This window comes from Homo sapiens, chromosome 9 (genome assembly GCF_000001405.40).
Source record: "Homo sapiens chromosome 9, GRCh38.p14 Primary Assembly".
NCBI classification, from domain to species: Eukaryota; Metazoa; Chordata; class Mammalia; order Primates; family Hominidae; genus Homo; species Homo sapiens.
In genome coordinates, this window is record NC_000009.12 from 131,353,669 (window position 1) to 131,366,669 (window position 13,001).

General features: G+C 47.9%; 1 long non-coding RNA gene across 1 annotated transcript in view, besides 3 other annotated features; it reads left to right on the top strand.

Moving 5' to 3' along the window:
* LOC105376299 (uncharacterized) overlaps positions 1-5,355 on the top strand; it is a 34,154-nt gene extending 28,799 nt beyond the window's left edge. The window contains exon 4 of the long non-coding RNA XR_001746959.3: positions 5,096-5,355. This is a non-coding gene — a long non-coding RNA (uncharacterized LOC105376299). The remainder of the gene's footprint in view (positions 1-5,095) is intronic.
* Positions 1,802-2,419: an enhancer, noted in NCBI's record as "H3K27ac-H3K4me1 hESC enhancer chr9:134230857-134231474 (GRCh37/hg19 assembly coordinates)". NCBI's record gives its function as "activates a minimal SCP1, AML or CMV promoter by ChIP-STARR-seq in naive H9 embryonic stem cells {active_cell/tissue: H9 hESC(naive)}" and the evidence as "EXISTENCE:reporter gene assay evidence [ECO:0000049][PMID:30033119]".
* Positions 2,420-3,035: an enhancer, noted in NCBI's record as "H3K27ac-H3K4me1 hESC enhancer chr9:134231475-134232090 (GRCh37/hg19 assembly coordinates)". NCBI's record gives its function as "activates a minimal SCP1, AML or CMV promoter by ChIP-STARR-seq in primed H9 embryonic stem cells {active_cell/tissue: H9 hESC(primed)}" and the evidence as "EXISTENCE:reporter gene assay evidence [ECO:0000049][PMID:30033119]".
* Positions 5,501-6,117: an enhancer, noted in NCBI's record as "H3K27ac-H3K4me1 hESC enhancer chr9:134234556-134235172 (GRCh37/hg19 assembly coordinates)". NCBI's record gives its function as "activates a minimal SCP1, AML or CMV promoter by ChIP-STARR-seq in naive H9 embryonic stem cells {active_cell/tissue: H9 hESC(naive)}" and the evidence as "EXISTENCE:reporter gene assay evidence [ECO:0000049][PMID:30033119]".

The following is a 13,001-nucleotide window of genomic DNA, read 5'->3' on the forward strand; positions in this document are numbered from 1 at the left end:
GGAGTTTGAGACCAGCCTGGCCAACATGGTGAAACTCTGTCTCCACTAAAAATATAAAAATTAGCCGGGTGTGGTGGCATGCACCTGTAATCCCAGCCACTCAGGAGGTTAAAGCAGGAGAATCACTCGAACCCGGGAGGCGGAGGTTGCAGTGAGCCAAGATTGCGCCACTGCACTCCAGCCTGGGTGACAGAGCAAGACTCCGTCTTAAAAAAAAAAAAAAAAAAAAAAAGGCCGGGCGCAACGGCTCACGCTTGTAATCCCAACACTTTGGGAGAATGAGGCGGGCGGATCATGAGGTCTGGAGATCAAGACCATCCTGGCCAACATGGTGAAACCTTGTCTCTATTAAAATACAAAAAATTAGCCGGGCGTGGTGGTACACGCCTGTAGTCCCAGCCACTCAGGAGACTGAAGCAGGGGAATCGCTTCAACCCTGGAGGCGGAGGTTGCAGTGAGCCGAGATCGTGCCACTGCACTCCAGCCTGGCGACAGAGTGAGACTCCGTCTCAAGAAAAAAAAAATTGAATTATAGGGGTTATTTATATAATCTGGAAATTAAACCCTCATCAATATGTGATTTGCAAATGTTTTCTTCTGTGGATTTTTTCATCCTTCATAGTGTCCTTTGATGCATAGAAGTCTTTAATTTTAATGAAGTATGATTTATCCATTTTTTCTTTTGTTGCCTGTGCTTTTGGTGTTGTTTAAAAAACCAACGCCAAATGGCCGGGCACAGTGGCTCACGCCTGTAATCCCAGCACTTTGGGAGGCCAAGGCGGGCGGATCACGAGGTCAGGAGATCAAGACCATCCTGGCTAACATGGTGAAACCCCACCAGGCTGGTCTCAAACTCCTGGCCTCTACTAAAAAAAAATACAAAAAATTAGCAGGGCGCGGTGGCGGGCGCCTGTAGTCCCAGCTACTTGGGAGGCTGAGGCAGGAGAATGGCGTGAACCCGAGAGGCAGAGCTTGTAGTGAGCCGAGATAGCGCCACTGCTCTCTAGCCTGAGCAACAGAGCAAGATTCTGTCAAAAAAAAAAACAAAAACAAAAAAACCAAAGCCAACCTCATGCAAATTTTCCCAGATATAGATATAGACATAGATATAGATATATAGTTTGTTTTTTTTTTTTGAGACGGAGTCTCACTCTGTCACCCGGGCTGGATTGCAGTGGCCGGATCTCAGCTCACTGCAACCTCCGCCTCCCCGGTTCAAGTGATTCTCCTGCCTCAGCCTTCTGAGTAACTGGGATTACAGCCGCACACCACCATGCCTGGGTAATTTTGTATTTTTAGTAGAGACGGGGTTTCACCATGTTGGTCAGGCTGATCTCGAACTCCTGACCTCAAGTGATCCACTCACCTAGGCCTCCCAAAGTGCTGGAATTATAGGCATGAGCCACGTCACCCAGGCTCCCATGTATTTTCTTCTAAAAATTTTATAGTTTTTTGCCTCTTAAGTTTTGGTGTTCAATCCATTTTGAGTAAATTTCTGTATGTGGTGTAAGACAAGGATCCAACTTCATTCTTCCGCATGTGGATACCCTGTTTACCTAACACCACTTATTGAAGAGGCTTCTTTCTCCCATTAAATGGTCTTGGCAACTTTGTTGAAAAGCACTTGACCATAGAGGTATGGGCTTATTTCTGGGTTCTCATTTTTATTCCATTGTCTATGTGTCTAGCCTTATGTCACTATCACCTGCTTTGATTACTGTAGCTTTGTAGTACGTTTTGAAATCTGGAAGTCTAAATCATCCACCTTTATTATTCTTTTTCAAGATCATTTTTGGCTCTTCTAGGTTCCTTTAAATTGCATATGAATTTAGGATGGATTCCATATGAATTTAGGATAGATTTAGCGATCTGCCCGCCTCAGCCTCTCAAAGTGCTGGGCTTATAGGCATGAGCCACTGTGCCTGGCCAGGTTGACTCTACTTTTTAATATGTTCAAAATCGACATAATGGAGAGTTAGTAAGAAGAAAGTTGGTCAGGTGCGGTGGCTCACACCTATAATCCTAACACTTTGGGAGGCTGAGGTGGATAGATCACTTGAGGCCAGGCATTCGAGAATAGCCTGGCCAACATGGTGACACCCCATCTCTACTAAAAATACAGAAATTACCTGTAGTCCCAGCTACCTGGGAGGCTGAGGCAGGAGAATCACTTGAACCTGGGAGGCGGAGGTTGCAGCGAGCCAAGATCGTGCCATTGCACTCCGTCTCAAAAACAAACAAACAAAACCAGGCTGGGGGTGGTGGCTCATGCCTGTTATCCCAGAACTTTGGGAGGCTGAGACAGGTGGATCACGAGGTCAGGAGTTCAAGATCAACCTGGCCAACATGGTGAAACCCCATCTCTACTAAAAATACAAAAATTAGCTGGGCGTGGTGGTGGGCGCCTGTAATCCCAGCTACTCGGGAGGCTGAGGCAGGAGAATTGCTTGAACTTGGGAGGCAGAGGCTGCAGTGAGCGAAGATCGCGCCACTGCACTCCAGCCTGGATGACTCCATCTCAAAAAAAAAGGCCAAGTGTGGTGGCTCACACCTGTAATCCCGGCACTTTGGGAGGCCGAGGTGGGTGGATCACCTGAAGTCAGGAGTTTGAGACCAGCCTGACCAACATAGTGAAACCTCATCTCTACTAAAAATACAAAATTAGCTGGGTGTGGTGGCACATGCCTGTAGTTCCAGCTACTTGGGAGGCTGAGGCAGGAGAATGACTTGAACCTGGGAGGTGGAAGTTGCAGTGAGCAAAAGTCACACCATTGCACTCCAGCCTGGGCAATAAGAGAGAAACTCCATCTCAAAAAAAAAAAAAAAAAAAAAAAAGAAGAGCTCATGTCATCCGCAAATAGAGACAGTTTTACTTCCTTCCCAATGTGGATGCCTTTTACTTCCCTTTCTTGCCTAATTGTTCTGGCGAGAACGTCCAGTGCACTGCTGATAGAAGTGACCAGAGCAGGCATCCTTGGGTTGTTTCTGCAGAGGCTGAACTTTTAACCGCATGATGGACTTTTTCTGCTGAGTCGTCCTGATTCTTGGTTTGTGGGGAAAAGCAAGAGAGATCAGATTGTTACTGTGTCTGTGTAGAAAGAAGTAGACATAGGAGACTCCATTTTGTTATGTACTAAGAAAAATTCTTCTGCCTTGAGATTCTGTGACCTTACCCCCAACCCCGTGCTCTCTGAAACATGTGCTGTGTCAACTCAGAGTTGAATGGATTAAGGGCGGTGCAAGATGTGCTTTGTTAAACAGATGCTTGAAGGCAGCATGCTCCTTAAGAGTCATCACCACTCCCTAATCTCAAGTACCCAGGGACACAAAAACTGCGGAAGGCCGCAGGGACCTCTGCCTAGGAAAGCCAGGTATTGTCCAAGGTTTCTCCCCATGTGATAGTCTGAAATATGGCCTCGTGGGAAGGGAAAGACCTGACCGTCCCCCAGCCCGACACCCGTAAAGGGTCTGTGCTGAGGAGGATTAGTAAAAGAGGAAGGAATGCCTCTTGCAGTTGAGACAAGAGGAAGGCATCTGTCTCCTGCCTGTCCCTGGGCAATGGAATGTCTCGGTATAAAACCCGATTGTATGCTCCATCTACTGAGATAGGGAAAAACCGCCTTAGGGCTGGAGGTGGGACCTGCGGGCAGCAATACTGCTTTGTAAAGCATTGAGATGTTTATGTGTATGCATATCTAAAAGCACAGCACTTAATCCTTTACATTGTCTATGATGCAAAGACCTTTGTTCACGCGTTTGTCTGCTGACCCTCTCCCCACAATTGTCTTGTGACCCTGACACATCCCCCTCTTCGAGAAACACCCACAGATGATCAGTAAATACTAAGGGAACTCAGAGGCTGGCGGGATCCTCCATATGCTGAACGCTGGTTCCCCGGGTCCCCTTATTTCTTTCTCTATACTTTGTCTGTGTCTTTTTCTTTTCCAAATCTCTCGTCCCACCTTACGAGAAACACCCACAGGTGTGTAGGGGCAACCCACCCCTACAGGTTTGGGGCCGGAGATTACAGTTTGTGTGTCTACGCCAAAGGCACGGGTGGAAACGGGGAAAGCCAGCCAGTTAGCCGCCACGTGGGCTTTGGTGCAGCCCCACCAGGTGGTTGCTTATGTCCACACGTGTAGCAGTGAGAAGGTGCCCTGGCATGACTAACTCCCTTCTCCATTTTGCTCGTAACTTCCCTCCCCTCCCCCGACACCCTACTGGCTATGGTGATGATATCTTTTAGGTTAACTGCTTTTGCCTGTCTCTGCATGTAGGCCAAACTTATTATGGGAGAAATTTAGTTTATAGTTTAACTTTGAAGCAAGGATGATGATAATAGTCTCTCCCTAAAACTAATCCTCCCTCCCTTCCCCCACAGAAGATGAGGAGGTTGTACACACAAGTAACAATGTTATGTTACAAATGTACATAAGCTGGCATGGGTGACTCGTGTGTCTGTAATCCTACCACTTTGGCAGTCAGAGGCAGTGAAGTGGCATCGTTTGGGGAAATACCCAAGGATCGTTGTCTTGACCTAAGGAAAATGAAGACGCAGACGCACGAGGAGTCAGAAAGTTGGGGCCGGGCGCGGTGGCTCACGCCAGTAATCCCAGCACTTTGGGAGGCCAAGACAGGAGGATCACCTGAGGTCAGGAGTTCGAGACCAGCCTGGCTAACATGGCGAAACCCCGTTTCTAGTAAAAATACAAAAAATTAGCCAGGCATGGTGGCGTGCGCCTGTAATCCCAGCTACTTGGGAGGCTAAGGCAGGAGAATAGCTTGAACCCGGGAGGCGGAGGTTGCAGTGAGCCGAGATCGTGCCATTGCACTCCAGCCTGGGCAACAGAGACTCTGTCTCAAGAAAGAAAAAAAAAGAGAGCAGAAAGTTTAATAGGTGAAAGAAGAAAGAGAAAAGCTCCCCCGTGCAGAGGGAGGGGGTTCCGTTCATGGCAGGATGTGGTTGGTTTTACAGAGGGGCTTGAAGAGGTGGTGTCTGATTTACATAGGGCCCAGAGGATTCATTGGACAAAGTGTGTCATTTACCTGGAGCTTGAAGAGGCTGACCGTCCCACCCTAATCATTTATCATGCAGATGGAGTCTCTACCTGGCCGGTGCCATGACACCTGCACACGTGGCAACAAAGAAAAGGGAAGAGAAAGACTCCATGTTGACTCTACCTGGCTCCCAGGTATCCCTTCTCTATCGGCACGGCTGCCGACTTCGCCTGTGCAAGTTTCCAGCTTGCTTACCTATGCTTGCAGCTTGATTTTTCAGGCCGCTTTTTGTTAGAAAAGAAATTAGTTGGGGGCTGCTTTATTATTAAAATAAAAACCTTACTTTCTGTACTCTCACTAACTGCCTAAATAATTTCTTTTTAACTCCTATATCAGCGGGAGGATTGCTTGAGCCCAGGGGTTGGAGACCACCCTCGGCAACACAGGGAGACTCCGTCTCTACAAAACATTAAAAAATTGCCAGGCGCAGTGGCTCATGCCTGTAATCCCAGCACTTTGGGAGGCCGAGGCGGGTGGATCACGAGGTGACGAGATGGAGATCATCCTGGCCAATATAGTGAAACTTCATCTCTACTAAAAATACAAAAATTAGCCGGGCATGGTGGTAGGCACCTGTAGTCCCACCTACTCGGGAGGCTGAGGCAGGAGAATGGCGTGAACCCGGGAGGCAGAGCTTGCAGTGAGCCAAGATCGTGCCACTGCACTCCAGCCTGGGCGACAGAGCCGAGACTCCGTCTCAAAAAAAAATAAAAAATAAATAAAGTTAGCCAGGCATGGTGGCGCATACCTATAGTCTAAGCTACTTGAGAGGCTGAGGTGGGAGGATCACTTGAAACTGGGAGGTCGAGGCTGCAGTGAGCCATGATCACACCACTGCACTCCAGCCTGGGCAACAGAGTGAGACCCTGTTTCAAAAAACAAAATGGGCCAGGCACAGTGGCTCACGCCTGTAATAGCAGCACTTTGGGAGGCTGAGGTGGGTGGATCACCTGAGGTCAGGAGTTCCAGACCAGCCTGGCCAACATGGTGAAACCCCATCTCTACTAAAAATACAAAAATTATGGCAGGGTGCAGTGGCTCACACCTGTAATCCCAGCACTTTGGGAGGCCGAGGCGGGCGGATCACCTGAGGTCGGGAGTTCAAGACCAGCCTGACCAACATGGAGATACCCCGTCTCTACTAAAAATACAAAATTAGCGAGGTGTGGTGGCTCATGCCTGTAATCCCAGCTACTCCGGAGGGTAAGGCAGAAAAATTGCTTGAACCCGGGAGGTGGAGGTTGCGGAGAGCCAAGATCATGCCATTGCACTCCACCCTAGGCAACAAGAGTGAAACTCCGTCTCAAAAAAAAAAAAAAAAAAAAAAAAATTAGCTAGGCATGGTGGCCTGCCCCTGCAATCCCAGCTGCTTGAGAAGCTGAGGCAGGAGAATCGCTTGAATCCAGAGGCGGAGGTTGTGGTGAGCCGAGATTGCATCATGGCACTCCAGCCTGGGCAACAAGAGTGAAACTCCATCTCAAAAACAAAAAGAAAACCCACATATACACCTTGATTTAATACTTCCCAAGAGCTATTCGTTTGGCCCTATGTCTGTGACAGCTGGAAAGAATGCTTTATAAAAGAAAGAAGAGGCTGGGCGTGGTGGCTCATGCCTGTAATCCCAGCACTTTGGGAGGCCAAGGCGGGTAGATCACGAGGTCAGGAGTTCAAGACCAGCCTGGCCAAGATAGTGAAACCTTGTCTCTACTAAAAATACAAAAATTAGCTGGGCGCAGTGGCGGGTGCCTGTAATCTCAGCTACTCGGGAGGCTGAAGCAGGAGAATCGCTTGAACCCAGGAGGCAGAGGTTGCAGTGAGCCAAGATTGCACCACTGCACTCCAACTGCAGCGACAGAGCAAGGCTCCGTCCCAAAAAAAAAAAAAAAAAAAGAGAGAAAAGAAAGAAGAGCGGCCAGGCACGGTGTCTCACACCTGTAATCTCAGCACTTTGGGAGGCTGAGGCGGGTGGATCACCTGAGGTCAGGAGTTCAAGACCAGCCTGACCAACATGGCAAAACCCTGTCTCTACTAAAAATACAAAATTAGCCGGGTGTGGTAGTGCATGCCTGTAATCCCAGCTACTCGGGAGGCTGAGGCAGGAGAATCCCTTGAACCCGTGAGGCAGAGTTTGTGGTGAGCCAAGATCGTGCCATTGCACTCCAGCCTGGGCAACAAAAGTGAAACTCTGTCTCAAAAAAAAAAAAAAAACGAAAAGAAAAGTAAGAAGAGCATCCTGGCCAGGCGCGGTGGCTCACGCCTGTAATCCTAGCACTTTGGGATGCCAAGGAGGGTGGATCACATGAGATCAAGAGTTTGGGACCAGCCTGGCTAACATGGTGAAACCCCATCTCTACTAAAAATACAGAAATTAGCCAGGTGTGGTAGCGGGCGTCTGTAATCCCAGCTACTTCGGAGGCTGAGGCATGAGAATCGCTTGAACCTGGGAGGCAGAGGCTGCAGTGAGCCGAGACAGCGCCATTGCACTCCAGCCTGGTGACAAGAGCAAAACTCCATCTCAAAAAAAAAAAAGCTTTAGAGCAGGAATGAAAGGAAGTAAAGTACACTTGGAAAAGGGCCAAGCGGGTGACTTGAGAGATCAAGTAAGCAGTTTGGCCTTTTGACTTGGGGTTTTATATGTTGGCATGCTTCCGGGGTCTTGTGTCCCTTCTCCCCTCATTCTTCCCTTGGGGTGGGCTGTCCGCATGCGCAGTGGCTGCCAGCACTTGGGAGGTGAGCATGCACAGTGTGTTTCCTGGAGCTGTGCACGTGTTCACTTGAGGCATTCTTCCCTTAACAGTCAAATGCCCCTAGAAGTTCATATACCAGTTAAGCCCTACCATTTTGCCTCTTAATGCACATGCTCGAGCCTACTTGTCCAGCTCCTGAGATCTTATCAGGAAGCTGCTGATCCCCAGTTTCAGGTGTTCCTGTTTATTAGGAGACTGCTTTCTCTGCTGCCTGGTGCTGAGTCACAGTGTCTGGCACCCACATTATTTTTTGAACAATTATTATGTTAGAGAGACAGTTAACAACCGCTTAACCATTACATGATGGTGGCGGACATTCCTGGTTGGGGGGGCCCTCTCCTGCTGTGCTCATGCCTGACTAGCTACCTACTGTAACAAGACCCCGTCCCTAAAAAATTGAAAAGAAAAATAAATTTAAAAACTAGGCCAGGCATGGTGGCTCATGCCTGTAATCCCAGCACCTTGGGAGGCTGAGGTGGGAGAATTGCTTGAGCCCAAGAGTTTGAGACCAGCCTGGGCGACATGGCAAAGCCCCATCTCTACAAAAAATACAAAAATTGGGCTGGGCACGGTGGCCCACGCCTGTAATCCCAGCACTTTGGGATGCCGAGGTGGGTGGATCACTTTAGGTCAGGAGTTCAAGACCAGCCTGGCCAACACGGCGAAACCTCGTCTCTACTAAAAATAAAAAAATTAGCCGGGTGTGGTGGTGGGCATCTGTAATCCCAGCTACTTGGGAGGATGAGGCAGGAGAATAGCTTTAACCCGGGAGGCGGAGGTTGCAGTGAGCCGAGATTGCACCACTGCACTCTAGCCTGGGTGACAGCGAGACTCGTCTCAAATAAATAAATAAATAAATAAGAAGTATGGTCTTTCTGCCATAAGCAGAGACAGGCTAAAAACATTCATAACATCCGTCTGACCCTGAATACTTTGTTCAAATTCAGCCTTGCTTTCTGCTGGCTTTCCAATGATACATGTGATTGATGAAGAAATATATTTTAGTTCCTTGCCAGATTTTATTTTTATTTCTGTTACAGTTTTTACTGCAGAATTTTTTTTTTTTTTTTTGAGACGGAGTCTCACTCTGTCGCCCAGGCTGGAGTGCAGTGGCGCGATCTCAGCTCACTGCAAGCTCTGCCTCCCAGATTCATGCCATTCTCCTGCCTCAACCTCCCGAGTAGCTGGGACTACAGGCGCCCGCCACCACGCCTGGCTAATTTTTTGTATTTTTGGTAGAGACGGGGTTTCACCGTGTTACCCAGGATGGTCTTGATTTCCTGACCTCGTGATCCGCCCGCCTCGGCCTCCTAAAGTGCTGGGATTACAGGCTTGAGCCACCGCATCCGGCCAGAAATTTTTATCTGACAGGAAGAACAAATGATTCCCAACGGTATGCAAGTTTCTGCTTTTGCTATTAAGAAACCTCAAAAAAGAAGCCAGGCGCAGTGGCTCACACCTGTAATCCCAGCACTTTTGGAGGCCGAGGCGGGAGAATTACTGGAGCTCAGGAGTTTGAGACCAACCTGGGCAACATGGCAAAACCCCATCTTTACAAAAAATACAAAAAAATTAGCCAGGCTTGGTGGCACACGCTGGTAAGTTTCAGTTACTTGGGTGGCTGACCCTGTCTCAAAAAAAGCTGACCCTGTCTCAAAAAAGGCTTTGAATCATTTATCATTAAGTTTGAAGAAACTCTGGGGGAAGCACTGGATTAAGTATGACACAACTTTAAAAATCACTGGAGAAATTGTAGAGGTTCACCTGGACATTTGATTTTCACATGCTCCGGTTCTTGGGATGGAGTCATATTATGTAACCCAGTATCTCAAGGCCCATCTATGCCCAGAGTGAGGTTCTTCATTCAAATAAATGGGTGTAAATCCACATTTCAAATAATCTTCTGGATTAATTGAAGTCCTGGGCCTTGAAAAAGGGTCAGTTTGACATTTTTTTTTCTTGTCTCATTCTGTCAACCAGGCTGAGTGCAGTGGCAAGATCTCGGCTTACTGCAACCAACACATCCCCGGCTCAGGTGATGCTCCCTCTTCAGCCTCCGAAGTAGCTGGGACTATAGGCATGTGTCACCATGCCTGGCTAATTTTTGTACTTGTTTTTTTGTAGAGATGGGGTTTCATCTTGTTGCCAAGGCTGGTTTCGAACTCTTGGGTTCAAGTGATCCTCCTCCCTTGACCTTCCAAGGTGCTGAGATTATAGGCACCAGCCATGGCTCCTGGCCTAATACTATCCTCATTCATTCACTTCTTTTTTCAAGATGGCTTTATTATTCTTCTACAGCTTTACTGAGGTATAATTAATGTGCAATAAACTGCACATATATGAAGTGTAAAATCTGATGTGTTTTTGTGTTGTGACCTATGTCTACACATGTGAAATGATTACCACAACCAAGATGATATTTCCTTCACCCTCATTGGGTTCTTCCTGCTTCTTTTTTTTTTTTTTTTTTTTGAAGCAGAGTCTCGCCCTGTTGCCCAGACTGCAGTGCAGTGGCGAGATCTCGGCTCTCACTGCAACCTCTGCCTCCCTGGTTCAAGCGATTCTCCTGCCTCAGCCTCCCTAGTAGCTGAGATTACAGGTGCCTGCCACCACACCCAGCTAATTTTCGTATTTTTAGTAGAGATGGGGTTTCACCATGTTGGCCAGGCTGGTCTCAAACTTCTGACCTCAGGTGATCCACCCGCCTCCGCCTCCCAAAGTGTTGGGATTACAGGAGTGAGCCACCATGCCCGGCCTCTTCCTGCTCTTTTGTAATCTATCTTTTACTCCTCCTACCCCCAACCCCCAACCCTAGAAAATCACTGATCTGTCACCTTTGGTTTGTATTTTCTAGCATTTTCTATAAATCAAATCATGCAATGTGTATTCTTTTTTTTTTTTTTTTTTTTTGAGACGGAGTCTTGCTCTGTTACCCAGGCTGGAGTGCAGTGGCGCGATCTCAGCTCACTGCAAGCTCAGTCTCCCGGGTTCACGCCATTCTCCTGCCTTAGCCTCCCCAGCAGCCGGGACTACAGGCGCCCGTCACCATGCCCGGCTAATTTTTTTGTATTTTTAGTAGAGACGGGGTTTCACCGTGTTAGCCAGGATGGTCTCGATCTGACCTCGTGATCCGCCTGCCTCAGCCTCCCAAAGTGCTGGGATTACAGACGTGAGCCACCGCGCCCGGCCACCATGTGTATTCTTTATCTGACTTTTCTTTTTCGAGACAGGGTCTCTTTGTTGCCCAGACTGGAGTGCAGTGGCACAATTATAGCTCACTGTAACCTTGAACTGGGCTCAAGTGATCTTCCTTCCTCAGCTCCCTAAGTAGCAGCTTGAACTACAGGCGTGTGCCGCAGCCAATTTTTTTTTTTTTTTTTTTTTTTTTTTTGAGACGGAGTTTCGCTCTTGTTGCCCAGGCTAGAGTGCAATGGCACAATCTCAGCTCATCACAACCTCCACCTCCCAGGTTCAAGCGATTCTCCTGCCTCACCCTCCCTAGTAGCTGGGATTAGAGGCATGAGCCACCATGCCCGGCTAATTTGGTATTTTTATTAGAGACAGGGTTTCTCCATGTTGGTCAGGCTGGTCTCGAACTCCTGACCTCAGGTGATCCACCCTCCTTGGCCTCCCAAAGTGCTAGGATTACTGGCGAGCCACCGTGCCAGGCCATTTTTTTTTTTTTTTTTTTTTTTTTTTTTGGAGAGATGAGGTCTCATTATATTACTCAGGCTTGTCTCAGGCAATCTTTCCATCACAGCCTCCCAAAGCACTGGGATTATGGGCACCACGACTGTCCCTTTTGTCTGGTTTAAAAAAAAAAGTTTATATTACATAAATAAATATTTTAAATTTTTTCTAGAGACAAAGTTTTGCTCTGTTGCCCAGGCAGATCTCAAACTCCTAGGCTCAAGCAATCCTCTTGCCTTGGCCTCCTTAAGTGCTGGGATTACAGGAGAGAGCCATGGCACCCAGCCTGTCTGGCGTTTTGTTTTTGTTTTTTTGTTTTTTGAGATGGAGTCTTGCTCTGTTCCCCAGGCTGGAGTGCAGTGGCACAATCTCGGCTCACTGAAACCTCCACCTCCTGGGTTCAAGCAATTCTCCTGTCTCAGCCTCCCAAGTAGCTGGGACTATAGGCAGGCAACAACACCCCTAGTCAATTTTTTTGTATTTTATTTTTGAGATGGTTGGAGAAAGGTATGGTTTGTCCAGAGCAGAGTTACTACTTGAATCAGTCTCCCCCAAAATGTTGAGGCTAGGCTTTTTCAAGGATAGTTTGGCAGGCAGGGGCTAGGGAACAGGTGCTGGTAATTGGTCGGGAATGTGATCATGGGGGTGTGCAAAATGCTCCTTGAGCACTGAGTCTTCCTGTGAGTTGGGCCACAGGACCAGTGGGCATTAGTTTTTTTGTTTTGTTTTGTTTTGTTTTTTGAGATGGAGTTTCACTCTTGTAGCCCAGGCTGCAGTGCAATGCTTGTAGCCCAGGCTGGAGTGCAATGGCACAATCTCGGCTCACCACAACCTCCACCTCCTAGGTTCAAGCGATTCTCCTGCCTCAGCCTCCCGAGTAGCTGGGATTACAGGCATGTGCCACCATGCCCAACTAATTTTTGTATTTTTAGTAGAGGCAGGGGTTTCTCCATGTTAGTCACGCTGGTCTCGAACTCCCAACCTCAGGTGATCCGCCCATCTCAGCCTCCCAAAGTGCTGGGATTAGAAGGGTGAGCCACCGCGCCTGACCAGGCATTAGTTTTACAAAGGCAGTTTAGTTTGGGAAAGTACTACTATCATCCTTGCTTTAAGGTTAAACTATAAACTAGATTCTCCCCAAAGTTAGCCTGGCCTAAGCCCAGGAATGACCAAGGAGAGCTTGGGGGTTAGAAGCAAGATGGAGTCAACTATGTCAGCTTTCTGGTTTTTTTTTTTTTTTTTTTTTTTTTTTTTTTGAGACAGATTCTCGCTCTGTCACTCAGACTGGAGTGCAGTGATGCAATCTCAGCTCACTGCAACCTCCGCCTCCTGGGTTCAAGCAATTCTCATGCCTCAGCCTCCAGAGTAGCTGAGATTACAGGTGTACACCACCACACTTGACTAATTTTTGTATTTTTAGTTGAGATGGGGTTTCACCATGTTGGCCAGGCTAGTCTCAACCTCAGGTGATCTGCCCATCTTGGCCTCCCAAAGTGCTGGGATTAC